Raw genomic sequence first — 21,118 nt, 5'->3', positions numbered from 1 at the left:
AATCTGCCCTAGGTAAATACCAATTTGTCATTGTTGGTAGAGTAACTATTTTACTAAAGTTATCTTGGAAAAAAAAATTTTAGGGATTAAAATAATTTAAAATTGTCCATACACTAAATTTGGTTTCTGAATACTCATCTTTGTCCATGTGAACCATTTTTATGTAAACATATACATATTTTACAACCTTAAGTTTTAATAATTTAAGAGAAATAAATGTTATGAGAGTTACTTTTAAAAAAATAAATGGCTAAAAATGTTAAGTCAGCCAACAGAAGACTACTTGAAGATGCATTAGAAAGTACAAAGATTTGAAGCTAAAAATGCACATTAATAATGTGTGCTGGTGTGACCAGTTTTCTCACCTGGGCTTAACTCTACTAAATAGGGCAGCTTCTCCGGAGGAAGGGTGGAGCCATAGCCAGACCCGTCAGCTCTCTCCTTTCCCTTGGGTGTCTTGCCTTCCAAGTGTTTCTTGGTTTTCTTTGGGATGTGGTCTGGTGGCCTCCTCTTCAACTGAAAGACTAAAATCCCTAGAACAGCAGCATGGGAAATCATCAGGCAGACTCAGGTTGGTCAGGATGGCCCGCTGACTGGCAGTCAACTGTGCAAAACTTTCTCAAAAAGATGCATGTAATTTAGGAACATCTGCCAAGGAATCACTGTGTACAGCTTACCCAATTCATACTTTCACTCAACAGAGGAAATATTAGCCTCTTGGTGTGTTTGAAAAGCTCTAGCAAGCAATTTCCAAAGACTACTCTAAATTAACAGCTACCGAAAGACATCATAAGCTTGAAAAAAAAACACCAGGTTAAGAATAAATGCTTACATTAGTAAACAACTCTATGATCAGTAAATACATTCATACATATAAAAACCACATTCACACACAAATACACATATAAAAATGTACTTTTAGGGTGATAAGTACACTAAAATCTCAGAAATCACCACGAAAAAATTTATTCATGTAACCAAATACCGCCTGTTCCCGCAAAAGCCTATTGAAATAAAACAACAATTCTATTACTAACAAAATATATGTGTATATTTTTAGTTGACCTGATTTTTATTAAATTCAACTTAAAGAATTTAGGCAATTTGCCTTTAATAAAATTTTAACTTTACACTGTTTTTAAAAAATACTAAACAAGTGTTTTAAGGAGGATAGAAATTTGCTTGCTGAGAAAGATTTTTTTGGTGTTTTAAAACTACCAATCTACATTCCATATTGACACGATTAAATGGCAATACATTTTTATGTCGTTATTAATGCAAGGCCCTCTATGGAGTTAACAGTTAACTTATGATGTGAATTTGAAAGAAAACCGTATTTTCTTAAAAACACAGCTTTAAACTTAAGACTGCTTTGAAATAATAAGGGAAAATTGTTTCAGTAGTGCAAAGTGTGAATTCATTATTTGAAATGACTAAATCACTGGACAATCTATAGGGTTACAGAAGTCATTTTCTCTATCATAACAAATTTGTCCAAACATCACACAGTTAATCTAGTCAGCATGAAATGTGTTTTCTACTACTGGTAGATACCAATGATCTTTCGCTTCTTGCTGTAGTGCTAATATTGTGGTTTCTTAATGAGATGTGTGATTTACCTGCAGTATCACCATTTGTTCAGTGTCTAACACATGAGACTCAGATAAGCTGAGTGTGGTCTTAGGGACAACGGCAACACTCAGGAATCATCAAGCAAGTTAATGAAGGAGGCAGAAAGCTCTACAGCAAAAAGCCATCCACATGGAGAAACCCCATCTCTACTAAAAATACAAAATTAGCCGGGCATGGGGGCGGAGCCTGTAATCCCAGCTATTCGGGAGGCTGAGGCAGGAGAATCGCTTGAAACCGGGAGGTGGAGCTTGCAGTGAGCCAAGATTGCGCCACTGCACTCCAGCCTGGGCAACAAGAGTGAGACTGTCTCAACAACAACAACAACAAGGCCATCCAAAAACATTAACGTACACATCTCCTACATCATGTGATAAGGTGAACACCTGGTATATCACATAGGAATCTGGTGTAAGTAATCCTTTAATAAGGTTACTACCTTTGTCACTTGGCCATTCCCTGAAGATTTGTAAAGGACACTCATCATCATCAAGAATAATTTCTTTAGCACCCTTTTCATCAGAATGCTGGGCTCCAGGAGGAAGCATAACCTAAAAAAACAAAAATAATTAACTATGAATGTGCCAAAGTAACTAAGTTAACAAGTACTTAAAAGAACACATTTATTGCTTTTGAATGAATAAAATGTCACCGTAGAATTAAGCACTAGAAACAATTCTCACTCATCATCAAAATAATCATCAATAAAAGTGAAAGGTAACAGTCTATAATAAAAAGCTAAGCCAGCTGATTTGGCTGCTTTTAATCACCTGGTCCCTAAAAAGAGGTAGACTAAATATTTTTTTTTTTTACAACTTTTTATATGGAAAGGCAGTACGGCAGTACGTAATGGTTAACTTCTGTGTAATTTCTTCACTATTGCAAATTTCAATCTCTCTAGTCCTTAACCCACCTTTTCACATTCAAACAATTGTTTTTATAAAGTGGGCTCATACAATATGAGATATCTTAGGATAACCACCATACAACAAGCCAGAATAGTTTTCGTTTTCTTGAAATAATCTCTTTATGATTAAATTTTAATCAGACCATTTAAATATATTACAGGGCAAGTCATTCATTCAACAAATGCTTTTAACCACCTGTTTCAATATACTGTATTCATTGAACTCCTAATTCATAATGCTGTATTACTTTTTTATTACATTTTTACTAGAGCCAAACAATTTTTTTAATAATCTAAGAAAGCCCCCAAAACACTGTAATATGGAGGAGAGTGGGAGATGATGGTTGTCCAATATTCTTCTAGACTTTGGGCTAGTGCTCCATCTTCACTCTAACACACTGCTAACATGAACCAAAACAGGATTAGAGAGAATAAGAAAAGAAGGCCAAGTCACTGGCATGTGAACATTACTTCCAACCTGTAATTAATGTAATGATGTTATCTTAATAGACCTCACCACCCAAATGTATCCTCATGCTCACATACCAAATGGGTTAGACTCTTCTACAGAACCCTGTAATTTCTCTCTACACTGCTTCAATTACCTTAAAAAGACAAATAGACTGTAACACACCTTATCATAAATTAACCAATCTTTCTTCATAGTGTTTCATATTACATTCAGTATCTTGGCTTAGAACACATACTACTTCAGGATCTGACCTTCACTCATCTCTTTAGTCTCAATCTTTATCAAACATTTAGAGCCAAGTCACATGGAACCAGAATCCTCACACTCGGCGACATATAATATGCTTCCATGATCCCTCCTGCCCCAACTTTCATGTCTAATAACATCCACTCATCCTTCAGCTTAAGTACAACTTCTCTAGAAAGCATTCAATGATTTTCATTCTAATAGAAAAGCTCCCTGTTTTCTATTTCTTAGTCTTTCTGTCTCCCTTTATTATAAGCTCTAAGGGCAGCTTCTTCTTATCCCAGGATAATATCTAACAAGGAGAAAATTTATTAAATAATTAAATAGATAAAATAATGAATAAAGAATAAGAAAACAGCTACAATTTATAAAATGGCAACCTGGGCCAGGCACAGTGGCTCATGCCTGTAATCCTAGCACTTTGGGAGGCCAAGGCAGGTGGACTGCCTGAGCTCAGGAGTTCGACACCAGCCTGGGCAACATAGTGAAACCTTGTCTCTACTAAAAAATACAAAAAATTAGCCGGACATGGCAGCGTGCGCCTGTAGTCCCAGTTATTCGGGAGGCTGAGGCAGGAGAATGGCTTGAACCCAAGAGGCGGAAGTTGCAGTGAGCCGAGATCGTGCCATTGCACTCCAGCCTGGGTGACAGAGCGAGACTTCATCTCCAAAAGGAAAAAAAGAAAAAAAAAAAAAAAGGCAAGCTGAGAAGATAAAGAATTTCAAGGTAAAACAATAATTACCTCCTGATTTGTATTGCCTAATCTTGCAAAAGAAAACTGGTTAGGAAATAACAGAACAGAAAACCAAAACTAGAAGAAACACTCAATGGAAATTATCAAATGACTTCATAAGGGACTGTCAATAAAATCCCAAGATAGGCTTTTATAACTTTAAAACCCCGATTAAGGTGCTCTTTCACTTTCTCATTTTCATCAGTAAAAATCAGCCAAAAATTACTGAAAAGAAAAAGATGTTAAAAAGTTTATCAGATGCAATTTTATAGAACAGTTTATTATTAAATAGACTTATATACACTTATCAACATCAACATTCCCTTGGCAAATACTGGAGCAACACCAGGTATCAGATGCAACACCAGGCATTCTTTTTTTTTTTTTTTTTTTTTGATACAGTCTCGCTCTGTCACCCAGGCTGGAGTGCAGTGGTGCGATCTCAGCTCACTGCAACCTCCGCCTCCTGGGTTCAAGTGATTCTCCCACCTCAGCCTCCCGAGTAGCTGGGATTACAGGTGCCCACCACCATGCCCAATTAATTTTTGTATTTTTAGTAGAGACAGGGCTTCAAGTTCCTGCCCTCAGTGTTCACACCACAACAGCTGAGGGACACAGCTCAGAAAGCATCAGGCGTCTGTTCAGTAGTACAGACCCTATGTACACTGCTGTTTTACTAATAGTATTCTGACTTAGAAAACTTTGTACAGCAGTTACTAATCAATTCTAAGTATACGGACCACTTAAAAAACCCATCATATCCATGGACTTAATTATTCTATAGGTAAATTATCTCTCTTATATATACAATCATACTTGCTATATAGTTCTTGTGAATGGTAAGGGATTATCTTATAAGGCCCAGGATTGTAACAGAGCTCTCTTGCACTTCAAGTAACTGTCAGGGCAACACACCACAACACCCTCCAGCTCAGGTATTTTTCCTTCAGAGAGAATGTACAATTACCTTGACTGAACAACCTTACACCCTTACCCAATCAATGCCCCACAGAGTATGGCAGAACTCTAGTTCATGACACTGTTTATCTATGAATTCTCATTTAAAGTATAAATTTTAAAATTTCACTTCTGAGAAGACTTTTTTCCTTCAATTTTATTGATACTATTTCTCACTACTTCCTACTAAAGGCCAAAGAAATAAAAAGGTGCACCAAATTACCAAATACCCATGCTTATCTCTCTTCTCCCATCCCAATGAAATGAGCTTTGCTGTATTTCTTTCTGATTCTGAATAACACATGTTCACTGTAAAAAAATTCAAATACAGAAAAAGCACAAGGGAAAAAAAAAACTACTGTGAGATTACTATATTTTTGTGACCATACTTTCAATAATTATCTTTATGCATTTATTTTATAATGAGATTCAGATCTTAATCATATAACACATGTTAAAAGTCTTTTCCTCCCTCTTTCCCTCACTTAGTTTGTAAGCTAGTATCTTTTCTAGGCATTTAACTTTCTCTTTGCTCATGTAAACATATACACAGCATTGTGTTATCTGGTTTTGTTTATGATGACTGCTTTTACAAAGACAGGGTATTCGTAAATGTACAGGCATACCTTGTTGCTTTATTGTGCCTCACGGATATTGCTCTTTTAAGAAAAAACAAATGTAAGTTGAAGGTTTGCGGCAAGCCTGCGTTGAGCACGCCTACTGATGCCATTTTTCCAACAGCATTGCTCACTTTGTGTCTGTGTGTACATTGTGTTAATTCTCACAATACTTCAAACTTTTTCATTATTATTATTAAATCTGTCATGGTGATCTGTGATCTCTGATGTTACTAATGTTTTGGGGTGCCATGAACTGCACCCATATAAGATGGCAAGCTTAACTGATAAGTGTGTGTGTTCTGAATGTTCCACTCCCCATCTCTCTACCTCTCCTTGGCCCTCCCTATTCTATGAGACATAACATTGAAATTAGGCCAATTAATACCCTAAAATGACCTCTAAGTGAAAGGAAGAGCTGCACATCACTCACTTTCAATCAAAAGCTAAAAATTGATTAAACATAGTGAGAAAGGCATGTCGAAAGCCCAGACAGGCAGAAAGCTAGGCTTCTTGGTGCCAGTCAAGTTATGAATGCAAAGGAAAACTTCTTAAAGGAAATTAAAAGTGCTACTCCAATGAACATATGAATGGTGAGAAAGAGAAACAGCCTTATTGCTCATATGGAGAAAGTCTGAATGGTCTGGATAGATGACCAAATCAGCCACAATATTACAGCCAATTCTACTCTAGAGCAAGGCCCTAACTCTCTTCAATTCTATGAAGGCTGAGAGAGGTGAGAAGGATGCAGAAGAAAAGTCTGAAGCTAGCAGAGGTTGATTTGTGAGGTTTAAGAAATGAAGCCATCTCCATAAAACTGCAAGGTGAAGCAGCTAATGGAGAAGCTGCAGCAAGTTCTCCAGAAGATCTAGCTAAGACCACTGATGGTCACTACACTAAATAACAGATTTTCAATGAAGATGAAACAGCCTTCTATTGGAAAAAGCAGCCATCTAGGACTCTCTAGCTAGAGAGGAGAAGGCAAAGCCTGGCTTCGAAGCTTCAAAGAACAGGCTGATTCTTTTGTTAGGGGCGAATGAAGCTGGTGACTTTAAGTTGAGGCCAATGCTCACTTACCTTTCTGAAAATTCTGGAGCTTTTAAGAATTATACAAATCAACTCTGCCTGTGCTCTATAAATGAACAACAAATCCTAGATGTCAACACATCTATTTACAGCATGGCTTACTATTTTGAGCCCACTGTTGGGACCTACTGCTCAGAGGAAAGAAGAAAAAAAAATAAGAACCCTTTGAAAATATTACTGCTCACTGACAAGGCACCTAGTCACCCAGGCTCTGGTGGAGAGGTACAAGATTAACATTGTTTTCATGCTTACTAAAGCAACACCCACTCTGCAGCCCATGGAACAAGGAGTGATTTTGACTTTCAAGTCTTATTATTTAAGAAACACATTTAATGAGGCTATAGCTGCCATAGATAGTGATTCTCTGATAAATCTGGGGTGAAAACCTGGAAAGTATTCACCATTCTAGATGCCATTAGAATATTCATGATTCACGGGATAAGGAAAAATATCAATAGTGAAAGGAGTTTGGAAGAAACTGATTCAAACCCTATGGATGATTTGGAGCTGTTCAAGACTTTAGTGAAGGAAGTACATGAAGATGAGGTGAAAACAGGAAGAGAACTAAGATTATAAATGGGGTCTGAAGATGTGACTGAAATGCTGCAATCTCATGATAAAAGCTGAACAAACAAGGAGTTGCCTCTTGTGAATAAGCAAAGAAAGTAGTTTCTTATGGAATCAACTCCTGGTGAAGATGCTGTGAACACTGTTGAAATGAAAACAAAGGATTTCAAATATTATATAAACTTAGTTGATAAAGCAGTGGCAGGGGTTGGGAGGACTGACTTCAATTCCGAAAGACATTTTACTGTACATAAAATGTTATCTAACAGTATCATATGCTACAGAGAAATGTTTTGTGAAAGGAAGAGTCAATCAATGCAGCAAACTTCATTTGTTGTATTTTAGGGAGTTGCCACAGCCAACCTAACTCACCTTCAGCAACCACCACCCTGGTCAGTCAGTGGCTATCAACATCCACGCAAGCCCCTGCACCAGCAAAAAGATTATAACTTGCTGAAGGCTCAGATGACTGTTAGCATTTTTTAAGTAATAAAGCATTTTTATATTAAGGTAGGTCCATTTTTTCTTAAACACAATGCTACTGCACACTTTACTAAAAGCATAACTTTTATACGTATTGGGAAACCAAAACACTCCTGTGATTCACTATACTGCGATGCCAGATTTACCGTGACGGTCTCTGGCATCGAACCTGCAACATCTCTGAGGTGTGCCTGTATATACCTCCAGGTCAACTAGTAGAGATTTAACTGACGTTGCAGAGCAACACGTCACTGAGTGGTAGAAGCATTCCTTAGTGCTGGGCTTGTTGTCTGCTTTTTTATTGCTATGCACAGAATACTGCAAAAATAAATGCTCATAGAAATAGCCTCAGGAATTTACTGGCTATTTGTTTATTTTAGATGTCACAACTAGTATTTACCACCATATTTCTAAACAATGTGTCCTTATTGCTATTTACCTTCAGTCTTGGACATTATCTCCAATCTCAAGTGTGTGCCGTTCAGCACTACTGCAGAGGAATCTTCTGGACTTTCCTTCCCCATCATCCTTGGAATTCCCTTCTCTTGATAGATTCTATTCTTGAATTCTCCCTCTCTCTCTTTCTTGGCCTACTCCATCATTCTGCTGGACAATGTCCTCCAGCACTTTTTTGAGATAGGGCACATGGGAGGTAAATTTTTGCCTTGTATGTTTTGAAATGTCTTTATTCCATCCACGTAACACCTGGCTGACAGTCTGGATGGGGAATCATTTCACTCTGCATTTGAAAGTACACGGCATGCCAGATACCATAGTTACTGTTGAGAAGACTAGCACCAGCCTTACTCCCCAAACCTTTATATGCAACTTGAATCTTTTTCTTTTGAATCATTCTTTTCAATACTAGTTTTCTGCAGTTTCAAAATAATAAGCTTTGGTTTGGGTCTTTGTCAAAGCAATTATACCATTATTCAGTGGGCCTTTTCAACCTAGAAACTAAACTTCTTCAGTCCTGAGAGATTCTAGCAGTATTTCCTTGATAACTTCCGTCTCTCCATTTCCTTTGGTTTTCTTTTTTGTTTGTTTGTTTTTGAGACAGAGTCTCGCTCCATCGCCCAGGCTGGAATGCAATGGCGAGATCAAGGCTCACTGCAACCTCCCGGGTTCAAGTAATTGTCCTGCCTCAACCTCCCAAGTAGCTGGGATTACAGGTGTGCGCCACCATGCCCAGCTCATTTTTTTTTTTTTTTTGTAGTTTTAGTAGAGACAAGGTTTCGCAATGTTGACCAGCCTTGTCTCAAACCCCTGACCTCAAAGTGCTGGGATTACAGGAGTGAGCCACCATGCCTGGCTTCCTTTTGATCCCCCTTTAGTATATGTTAAATATTCTACACTAATAATCTAAATATCTTGTCTGTTTTACTTCTTTTTCTGTTTGATCTGTATTTAGGTAGATTTCCTTATTTTCTACCTATCTTATTAACATTTTCCCCCCTCTATCGCTTATTTACTTTATATATTTTTTATTTCTAAGAGTTCTTTCTCCGTCTGTTTCTTTTTCCAGCATTCTAGTCTTATTTCATGGATGCACTATTTTCTTTATCTCTGTAAGTCTTAGTGTTGTCAAACTTCCATCTGTTCTCTCCAGTTTCTCCCTTTTAGCTCCAGTTTTCTTAATGTTTCTGTTATCTGTCCCCGTTTTAAAGGTACTTTTTTCAAATGTCTGTTGAACCTTGGCTATCAACATTTGACAGCAAGTCCCATGAAAGCTGAATGTAAAGGCTATATATGTGGGCAAGGGTTACTGTTGCTAAGTCTCAGAGTGATGTTATTAGACCAGAATTTTCAAAGGTCCATTTTTATACAGATCTTTCTTTCAACAAGTGCCTTCTGAGAGGGATCCATAAATCTTCTAGCCATCAGTATTCTGGGTACAGTCTTTCACTTCATCCTCCTGTTTTCAGTGAAGACCCTTGTCACCTTGTGCTACTCCTGTTACCTCCAAATCCACGGACTCCATTCAATACCCACCCACCTCCCATCAGTTTTACTCTAGCCTTCAGCAGTTAGGGTAGGGAAGTGAATCCGGTGGAGTCTGCCACTTCTTACAGAAACTTTCAGCCCAATTTCTTCTTTTCAGCCCAACTTTCAACACTGCCTTAGAAAGTTCCAAAGCCTCTAATTCCTGAGTCTTCCTGGGGCTGGGATACACTTGCCTGCTTTGTCTTGATGTCCTCCCAGCAAGATTTCTCTGGTCTGGCAAGTCAGAGACCTCTCATTTACATCTGCAAAATTCCACAGACTAATCTCTTGTCATCTCATCTCTCATTCTCTTTGTTCTTGTGCATTTAAACAAATTTTTATTCCTTTATTGTCATTTTAATGTGAGAAAAACATGATTTCCCATCTACTGTCAGCTAAAGTTGAGCTGTATTCATAAGCTTCAAATCACTAGTTTTTCCAACTCAATGTAACTTCTTAGCTTCTCAGCAAAAACATAAAAGTTATAAAACTCAAACAACACACCCTTTTATTTAATTCTACCTGTAGCTAACAAGAGAGGCACAAGACCTCTACACTGAATACTATGAAACACTGCTGAGAGAATTTAAAGCACTAAGTAAATAAAGAGATACACTCTGCTCACAAATTGGAAGACTAAATATTATTAGGATGAGAAGTCTCTCAAAGTTGATCTACAGAGGCAATGCAAACCCAATCACAATCTCAGAAGGTTTTGGGTAGACACTGACAAACTGATCCTAAAATTTATAAAGAAACATAAACAACCTAGAATAAACAAAGCAATTTTTTAAAATCATGAACAAAATTGGCACATACTTTACATAATTTTAGACTTATAAATCTACAGTAATTAAGGCAGCTTGGTATTGGTAAAAAGATAGACATATGTATCAATGGAACAGAAAAGAGACCAGAATAAGAACCACAAGTATATGTGGTCAATTGATTTTGGGGTAATTTTCATTTTCTTTAATTTGCCTTTTAATATTTTTCTTATTTTATAATAGAAATATGTATTGCTTTTGTAATGGAAGGGAGACTGCTTTTTAAAAATATATATTTAGCACATGATTTGTAAATTATCAGATTCTAAATGATATGGTAGGCTGAAAATCTAGGTTTAATTTGATTTAAAGAAAATCTACCATTTAAATGTGAAGTAGAAAGAACTACTGATTTGATAAAGTTCCTTACCCGGGCGATGCAGTAATCCTTAGGGTTTTCTTTTTCCAGACCATACTTCTCTAAAGCTTCAGCCACAGCAAAGTCTGCAGGATCTGTAGTAGACAGCAGGATTGTCTTGTAGGGAATATTTGGTTTTAAACTATCTGCATAAATTCTCAATGTTCCACCTGAAAAAACATTTTGACATCTTTGAGTACAACTTACTTTATGCCAGTAACAGAGATAGCTAACATTTACAGTCACTTGAGAAAAAGGTACCTGCATTCTAGCTAAAATGAGTGTAAAGACAATCTGCCTAATAACTATTGTTTCATTTCCTGTTAGATAACATATAATAGCAGTAACTAGTTGATCTAGTGACACTTAGAAACCATGAACAATCCAGCATGACAAAGACCATTTTCATCTTCTCTCTTCAAGCTAAAGGAGTTTTTAAAAACAATGAATTGATTTCCGTATCTATAGTGAGGAAAGAAAAGGAAGGAACTCCAGAATTTCTCTATGGTGCTGCTCTTTATTCAATTGCTTTGCGATTTCCTTACCTATATATTATTATATACCTATTTCTCCCATTTTCCTACTTCCTGATCATCAATCTGAAAAAAACTAAAAACCCAGATAAAGTTAAATATTAACCCACTAAATAAATCCATTTTTAAAAAGTGAAGTAGGAACCAGGAGATCTCAAGTGCTCAAGGCCAAAGATTTTTCAAAAGAGATTTGCCAACAGAGCAGAGTTCTATTTTTACTTCCAGGCACTACAAACTACAATGTCCTTTATAGCTGTGAACTTATTTAGGAGAAAAAAAGAAAACCAACTACAGCAGAGCAATTTGGATATCCTGACATTTTCTTTTGTTTCTTTTTAATGGAAATCTACATGTATATGTCATAATATTGTCACTTTTGGTGTCATAACCTGCTTTCTACCTATGGTCCAAGATTAATATAACCTGAAATCTGAAGTCCAGATGGAAGGATACTGAGGGAAGAAATTAAGATAGGTTCCACAGTCCCATTATGACACTGTGACCCTAGGTATGCACTCTGGCTTCTTTAACTCTCAATTTTCTCACCTGTAATTTAAGAGAGCTAGATTAGAAAATCTGTGGGTTTCTTGAAGCAAATTCTTAATTTCCATGATTCTATTACTTTTTAATTCTAATGCAGTTATTTCAGTTACTGAATATTTCTCATACTCTCTTTTTCAACAAGTCTGGCATGAATTGCATTTTGATAGCTTAGCTCACAATAAAATCATGTTGGTCTTTTAAGAAACCAACTAGTCCACAGTAGTATTAGAATATGGACCTGCTAAGCCAGACCAGGGGAATCACAGGTTGCAGCACATCTTTACCATGTGCACACTCACACTGCCCAGGGGCTCTCCTGTTCCAATGCAGAGGAACAGCAATAAGCAGGTCAGATGATATTCCTGCCTCAACAGCTTACATCCTGTGGTTGGGAAGTAGGATGCAGAGGAAGAAGACTAACAAGAAAACAAATAAATACCTTTAAAATAGTGACACACATTGTGAAAAATATAAGGTTGTGAGAAAGAACATGACCGAGAGCATCCTAAGCTTGGGTGACTGGCCAAGAACTCTCTGAAGAATAAACATTTGAACTCAGACCTGAACAACCAGACAGAAGTGGCCATGTGAAAATCTAAAGGAAGGGCTTTGTCTCAGCAGGGGACCAGCAACTGCTAAGGCCCAGGGCTGGGCAAGTCTGGTTGGGTTCACTGGCCAGTACGGACAGAGCGAGGGGAAAAGGGGCAGATGAGGTCAGGAACCAACTGAGACCAGATCATACAGGACTTCCCAGACCATGATCACATCATGAGTTTGAATTATTCTAGTTAAAGTGAAAGCCACTGGAAGGGTTTAAGTTCTATGTGTATGAGAGAGAGAGAGAGACAGAGAGAGAGAGAGAGAGAGTGGGTGTGTGTGCGTGCGTGCATGCAAGAGTGCACATGTATGACTGTGTCTGCGTGCATATGTCTAAGGAGGTGGACAAAATGTCACTTGTGCTTTCCAAAGAAGATCCTGGCTTTTGGATGAAGATAGGGACATTAGCAACAGGAGTGGAGTCCATTTAAACTGTGTTTTCCATGACACCAGAAGGCACACTCCTTATTTAATTACACTCCACATCCAAATACAGACCTCAAGTAATTCACAAAAAAAAAGATGTACAATAGGATGAGCAAACAATTGGGTAGACTGCAGTAACATCTATATGATTTTGGTTAGTGCCCCGTTTTGAAGATGAAGAAACTGTGGCTCTTGGTTTGTACACAGTGGTTCCAACTGCACCCTGACCCCAGGTCCATGTTCTTCTGCACTTCACAGTGCCCCGCTACTCACAAGACTGCGCGCTAAAAAACCCAAGAGGAAGAATCAACTAAAACTTCTCTTACAATTCTGTTAATTTATCAGTGAAAAAAAAAAACCATAACAATAAATGGTAGTAGAGTATTTGTACCACAAATGAATTAACTGAGATATATAGGGCATTTTGGGGTCAATTACATTTTGAAGCCATCATGAAGCAAATATAACTGAGTGTCAAAAACACAAAGTTCAGGGGCAAAGCTTGTTATGAATTGTGATGCCTGATCAGCTGTGAGGTGAGTTTAACAAAAACAAATTAAGGAGGACATGCAGGTTCTGTCATCAGAACTTGAGAAACTAATCCTTGGGGTAAAAGAGAAAAAAATAACAGACACAGCTGTCACTCTCAGAGAAGTGGTGTTCACAGGTGCCCTTGTCTCCAGCCCACACTAAAGAATTAACCTGATAGCTAAGCTGATAGCTGCAGTAGGCTGTAAGGATATATTTTTTCAGAGGAAGTTATTTGTTAAAACTAACAAATAAAAACCTTGGACTTCATTAATACTTTTGGCTTCCTTAGTATTAACCATAAAGGGCCATTTTTTGTTATCAATATTTAGTTAAGAGTTTCCTCAGAGTCTACATATAGAAAAATGCTCCTTCTACCCCCAATCACCCCTTTAACAGACAAGCTGTACTTTGATGTTCTGCTATTTCTCCTCCTAATTCTTTGCAGCTTTTCCTGTTTGCTTTGATGACTCCTCTTAACAATCAATGGCTTTCCCTTAAGTTTCTGAATCATCTATACACTGTCTCCTAACACTGATCACTCCCAAACCCTAATCGCCATGTGCCACTGGAACAGTAGCCTAAAATATATCCCATATCCTACCAGCACTTTATGTGACAAACATAAACAAAACCTACCTTCCACCCCCAAACATTCTTTCATTCTACAGTCCATCAACATCTTTCCAATAAAAAGCAGAGGGGCCATCCTAAATGCCTCCCCTCCTCAGTAAAATCCAGTCTATTGCCAGTTCCTGATAATTCTACCTCTTAAATATTTCTTCAGACCCTTCTCTCTTTACAGTCCCACTGTCAATGACAGAGCTCAGAGGCCCCTTATTCCTTATATGGCCAAAGCAATACTTTTAATGGGCATGCCTGCTCCTAATCAGAATTCCCTCAAATCCATCTTCCACTCTGCTTCCACAGTCATCTCTCCAGATATAAAGCTTAGGCTACAATGAAAGCCTTCTAAACCCCTAGCTTAAAACTCTTCAACAGCTTATTAACAAAGCATATCAAATTTTTCCATCAAAATACCCCCAATGGCAGTGCAAAATACATGGGGGAATCTGGGGACATAAGCTAACTGACATACAAAAACTTCCTATTTTATCGTAAAAAAAAAAAATGTAAATGTTACATTCTAACCACATTAAAGCATATTTCATTCTAACAAATATTTTTTAAAGTTAGATATAAAAATTGATACTCTAAGCTAGCTATGTTTACCATGACTCACTACCTCTAGCCCATACCTGAGTATTCTTTAAGGGAACCATAGAATACATTCAGAAATTCATTTCAGTAATAATGTCAAACTCCTTCTTACAGCATACAAAGTGCCTTCAGGTCTGGTACGTGGTTAGCACATGTAGCCATTTCTTAGCATTCCTCTTGTCTTTTAAAAAATTTTTACTACTGTTCTTCTTTGTATTTTCTTTCAGACTCCTTGTTTTGTCTTTTTTGGTGCATAGATTTAGAAATTATTTCAAATTCTTGACAGAACAAGACAAAATATATATAAACAAAGAATCACTTGGGTCTCAAATGTAATCTATTAGAATATTTATGGAACCAAGAAGTCCCGTACTCTCTGAGATCTTTTTTGAATCACTGGCACTACAAGTCCTGTGAAATATGTTAATTACGACTCAGTTATAGGGTGCTAAGGGTCAAAATAAGCACTAACACTAGGGTGGGCCAACGTTCCCCCCAGACGGTGGCTGTCTGGACACTAGGCTGAAATATGCTCAGGAGAAATAGAGTCCTGAGCAGTGTCTGCGATGGATGCAGAAGCAAGTGACCATGCATTCAATGTGTTACATCTCATTTAGATCCCATCTCAAACAGAAGAATCATCTGAGGCAATCAGGAAAATTTAAACAATGACTAGTTATTTGATAGTATTAAGGAATTATTATCAATTATTTTATATATGATAATGATACTATGGTTATATTTTGTTTTGTTTTTAAGGAATCTTTATCCTTCAGGAAAATATACCAAAATATTTATAGTTGAAAGAATGAGAAGTTAGGGATTTGCTTCCCAATAATAGTTTGAGAATGGAGGCAATGTATTTTGGAGAACAGAAGAAACCTCAGTGATACGTACACGGGAGTTTATTGTATCTTTCTCTTTTTTTGTATATACTTGAAATTTTCTAGTTTTTTTTTTTTAAGAGCTGTATTGGGTAAAAGTATGAAACTAAACATATCCCTATGTGAACAGGACTCTTGTACATAGGGTAGGCTGATTTTGTACCAGAAGTATATGGTACACATTTGTTATGAAAAGGTTACACCACCCATTGCTTTAGTTAAAGCAAGTCTCACGCACGTACAGTGTAATTAAACAATGCTCTTTGTAACAGGTAGAACAGAGAAAAAATACCAAGTTGTACCTGAATCAGGCCGCCCATCTGAGCTCCGAAATTCCTGCATTCTCTTTTCCAATTTTTGCTGCCTCCGTCGTTTCATAACCACCTCAGGATTAGAAATGGTTCGAGTAAAGCTGGTTTCCGGCATGTCTTTGTAAACCTCAGCAGCCAGTCGAGAATTTTCACTGTAAGAAAAAAAAATACCAAAAATATTTTAAACACTGTTTTCTTATTAGAAATAGACACATTGCAACCGCACAAAAATCAAAATGGCAGGTGCTATTTGGCTACATCTGTACCTAAGAGGTCTGTTACGTACTATTTACCACATGCTAATTACTATATGATAAAGAATATAGTTTCTCTCAACACAAACTAATATACTGAACTAAGCAGACATCTATCATTAAAAGTTTACATTAATAGTGAGTTTATTCATGAATAATGCTAAAAGAAAAATATATTGATTATACATTTCAGTAACTTCCACCAGTGTTACCCTAAAACAGACCAATATTTTACCATGACCTTCCAACCACAAGAAAGAAATATAGGACTGAATACTTAATTTTGCAAAAATCTGTCTTAACATTACAGTAAATTTAGGCTGGGCATGATGGCTCATGCCTATAATCCCAACACTTTGGGAGGCTGATGTGGGTGGATAATCTGAGGTCGGGAGTTGGAGACCGGCCTGACCAACATGGAGAAACCCCGTCTCTACTAAAAATACAAAATTAGCCGAGCGTGGTGGCAAATGCCTGTAATCCCAGTTACTTGGGAGGCTGAGGCAGGAGAATCACTTGAACTCAGGAGGCGGAGGTTGCAGTGAGCCAAGATTGTGCCACTGCATTCCAGCCTGGGCAACAAGAGCAAAACTTCATCTCAAAAAAAAAAAAAAAAAAAAAATTATAGCAAATTTTGAAAAGCCCAAATTAATTGAATGGAATGATTTTTTTTAACACCTAAAAGATTTAAAAGCATTAACTTTCTTGAAGTTAAATTTTCAAAAAGAATTAATTGCTCCAACAGTTTCTGTGAAGAAGTCAAATGTACAGAATGATGAGCTGAAAACAATACTAGGTAACTGACATACTTAACTAAATTTTGGTAAACATACTTTAAAGACACAATTTTTCATCATAAAAAATAATTTAATTAAAAATAGTCAAGCTTTTAATCAAGTTGAACAACTCATTTTAAGTTAAATAATTTATCACCCCATAAACAAGATGATAAATAGAGCGAGTCATAAAGTAGAAGCTTTTGGTTTGTTTTGGTTTATTTTGAGACAGGGTCTCGCTATGTAGTCCAGTGGCACAGTCATTGCTCACTGCAACCTCTATTTCCCAGGATCAAGCAATCCTCCCACCTTAGCCTCCTGACTAGCTGAGGCTACAGGCATGAACCTAGCCTGTTTTAAACTCTCCTTTTCTTTGATTTTTGTTCATGTATGAGCAACGTATCTTTGTACATTTTTTTCTCTTGCATAACTGCATTTAATAGAGTCTTATTATGTAATACTAGACTCAAGTGATTACATAGGCATCACTGTCTAGTAGATTCATATCTAAACCCCCTTTTGATGCAACACAAAATAGGCTCAAATTCCACTTTAAAGTATACCTTATTCACTGACAAATGGTTAATATCCTCAATACATACAGGACACTTAGAATCAATTTTAAAATGGGAAAAAGCCTTGGACAGGCCACTCCAACAAAAGAATACAAATGGTTAATAAATATGTGGAAAGATGTTGCCTTATTAATAACAAATTCAATTTATGGAAGGTATTATATACTGTAGAGATAATATACTGTTCTGTGACACCTAAGAGTTGCAGGTGTAAGGAAAAGAGAAGTCTTCTGGGCTCCATGACAGTACGGGGCTGTCTGCCGATGGGTTCAGAACACATGAGAGTATCTGAACCCTGTCACCCAACCATTCTTCTAGAATGCACCCTAAGAAAATAATCAGATAAGTTCCCTAAGTCGTAGAACAAGGATATTCACTGGAACATTTATTTAAAAACAAAACAAAGAACCACTATGAACAATCTATAAGTACACCAAAAATGGACTAGTTACATAAATTATGGAAGAACTATATAATACTGTATAATCGTTTAAAAATGTTTTTGTGAAATATAAACATCTTAGTGGAAAAAATATCAAGTGAAAATCCAGTTGAAGAAACTGTGGTTACATTTCTGTTTAAAGCCTCTCCAGACAAGTATATGAAATAGAAACATTTATAGAGAAAAAACAAACTAGATTATGATTCTCTCTGGGTTCATGTGATGACAGGTGAGTTCTTTACGTTCTTCACCCTTTTTGGCAAATCTATATATTCTGACTTTCTAAAAAGAGTATACATTATTTGATTACGGAAAAGTAATGTATAGAATACCATGTAGTCAAGACCAAGGCAACAGCAAGCTGCCTAAGAACAGGCATATGATAACCAAATGCACTAACTAAAAAACCAAAAACTGCTGAGGGTGAAAACAGGAACTAGAAACTCCACATTAAGGGGAAAGTCTAGTTTCTCCCAGTGACTCTTTTTGTTATAGTAAAAATGCAATGATTTAACTTATTCCCTCAGCTCTGTGTCAGATCCTCAAACACTTAAAATAGGTAACCATCTACAATGGAACTGGTGTGACAAAATAAGAAATGGGAGGTGGAAGTGGAGGGAACTAGATGGTGATCTGAAGCTTAAAAGGGAAAACCTGCTTTTCACCTTGTCAGCCTCTGACTAGGCATTAAGTGTATCTGAGGTACATATGAGACAACTGCTGCCTCATGGCCAAAACCACAGAAATGAGGAAAAAACCCAGCTGAAGATGAAAAAGAAAAATAATAATGTTAACTAGAGTTTGCTTATTTAAGACTAGCAAGACTGTGGGTGCAGAGATTCTTCCCAAGCACAGCAAGACAGGCACTGCCAGCAATGAACCCTGCTTAGGTAAGACCCTCTATCCTCCCTCCACACAGAAGAGCTGGGAGTAGACCCAAACACATTTCCTGACTGATACTCATCCTTTCCATAATTTATCTGAAAATTTAACAATTTTGGTGCAACAAAAACATCTGATTTGGAGCACAAAGAAAGGGGAACATTTCCAAAACTGACTTACACATCCTCCCCTTGGAAAGGTCTATCATCTTTATCAGATGCCTGTCGCAATGCCTCTTTTTCTCTCTTCTTTTTTTCCTTCTTTTCTTTCTTTGAGAGAGTTCTCTTGAAGTTCTGGATAACCCCTTCTTTTTCCTGCTTTTCAGGTCCATTACTTTGAGCCTTCTGATGAAAGTAACATTATCACCATATTGACTACTATGCAGAATCACATAAAATTGCCTACGGCTTAGGTAACTTCATCTCACATGCTGCCGAACATGTGAACAAAGCTACTGAAACACAGGAAGGTCTGGAGTAATGAGAATGGTCTTTATCTTGATTCAGCTGGCAGTTACATGGGTGTATTTATCAAAATCAATTGAACTGCACACTCAAGATCTGTGCATCTCACCGAATCTATATTTTACCTCATTTAAAAACTAGCAAGCAAGCAAGCTAAGAAACAAAAATCAAAGCCAGTTAGAAAACTGGGGGAGAAATGATGAAATCTGATTTTCAGTAAATAAAACTCCAAGTAATTTACATAAAGTAACTTGAATAAAAGAAACCTAACAAAATTATAAAAACAAAGAGTGAATAATAGACAAATCGCCTATAGTAGTTTTTAACTTTAAAGGAATTGTTAAGAGTAGCCATAATAAATTGGCTTTTATGAAACTGTTGTAAGTATTATGTTTGTGCAAAAATCTCTAACTTCGTTTCCAGATCTGATTTATTTGCTTGCTTCTTCTTAATTTGTATTTTAACCTCGAACAATGGCCTGCTAGCAGATGACAGAGATGCATTATTTTTACAGATAACTTAATAAGAAAATAACTATGAAAAATAAGGAAAAGAATGGCTATTGTGATGGGAAAGAAAACTACCTTCTGCTTTATAAGTTATGGGAGAAAAGCATGTGAACACTGCCATTTGATTCATAGATACTTGGAGCACTGCACTGGTCTTAGGAGTTCCAATACATGTCAATGAGGGTCTGTGGTCCATAGCAAAATATACAGAATGAAAGAGCATCTGCTGAAATTGTGGAGCAGAAATGAAATAAAACATGTATAGCAAAACAATGGACATGCATTCTTAACTTTTTTTGTATTTGCTGCAAATATGACACATCACTAAGCACAGTAACAAATAAGGTCAATACATTTTGTACATCTCCATGACTCTTCAACATGGAACAGTGACATCACACAAAATAAAAAATTTCTGCTGCTAAAAGTGATTAACGACAGCCTTTTCCCAATCTGTTGGGGGGCGGGGCGGGGGGGAATGAAATGGAAGATTTTTCATAAAAATATTCTTAACCTTTGCATTTGCTATCACTTGTCCATAATGAATTCTTGTGTAAGATGCCACTTGATTTAGCACAAAATAAACATAGCAGCACAGAATTCCAGATATCCTACCACCTAGGAAGTTGTAGAATCACTCTATTCCATCATTCAAGAAAGTTTACTAATTCCTAACCCTGCACATAATGAAAACGTTTTAAATGACCAAAGTTGCATCTAAAAGTTCACAAATAGATATAAAAGCGTTATTTTCCCTTTTGATCCTTATTAGAACTATTCTGATTTTATATTTTGGAAAAAAAAAATAACTGCAGCTGATCACCTGATCATTAAATCTCACAGTAACGAGTTTACATAAATATTCTTTGAAAAGGTGAGAAACAATATCTGGAATTACTAGTTGAGATAAAGGATAAAGTAGAGAGAAAAAGGCTTCTTTTAAATTATTTTCTGGGAGGAGGGTAAAAGGGTTTATAAAGAGAAGCAAAAAAGAGAAGGAACTCCTGTAACAAAACATCAGTCTCCTGTTTATCAGTCAGACCTGGCCCTGGACCAAGACCGTCATAAAATACTGAGGGTTCCTACCTTAGGAGGAATGGCGTCATTCTCATTCTTAAGAACAAATCTGCCTTCCCGATCATCTTTGTTCCAATTCAGTTGTACAACTAGAGGTTTCTCATCTATATCCAATCTTCTTTCTTCTTCAAAACATGAAATGAAAAAAAGAATAAGCTATGGTTATTTCATAGAACTAGCTAATACAAGCATTCTGATATACATTTAATTTTATAGACAAAGCACCTACTT

At 36.8% G+C, this 21,118-nt stretch overlaps 1 protein-coding gene across 53 annotated transcripts in view; it reads right to left on the bottom strand.

Moving 5' to 3' along the window:
• Positions 1 to 21,118, bottom strand: part of AFDN (afadin, adherens junction formation factor) — a 145,460-nt gene that overhangs the window by 80,629 nt on the left and 43,713 nt on the right. For 24 of the 53 annotated variants that reach the window (XM_047418788.1, XM_047418789.1, XM_017010878.2 and 21 more), the window contains exons 3-8: positions 20,897 to 21,012; positions 19,018 to 19,181; positions 15,900 to 16,060; positions 10,878 to 11,035; positions 2,069 to 2,180; positions 366 to 533 (exon numbers count right to left, since the gene is read on the bottom strand). In XM_047418788.1, the coding sequence (XP_047274744.1) occupies positions 366 to 533; positions 2,069 to 2,180; positions 10,878 to 11,035; positions 15,900 to 16,060; positions 19,018 to 19,181; positions 20,897 to 21,012 (879 nt within the window). The remainder of the gene's footprint in view (positions 1 to 365; positions 534 to 2,068; positions 2,181 to 10,877; positions 11,036 to 15,899; positions 16,061 to 19,017; positions 19,182 to 20,896; positions 21,013 to 21,118) is intronic. The other 29 variants (NM_001366320.2, XM_047418795.1, NM_001366319.2 and 26 more) reach the window with 3 other exon arrangements.

The sequence above is a fragment of the Homo sapiens genome, chromosome 6 (assembly GCF_000001405.40).
Source record: "Homo sapiens chromosome 6, GRCh38.p14 Primary Assembly".
NCBI lineage: Eukaryota > Metazoa > Chordata > Mammalia > Primates > Hominidae > Homo > Homo sapiens.
This window is presented reverse-complemented; position numbering and strand designations above follow the sequence as displayed.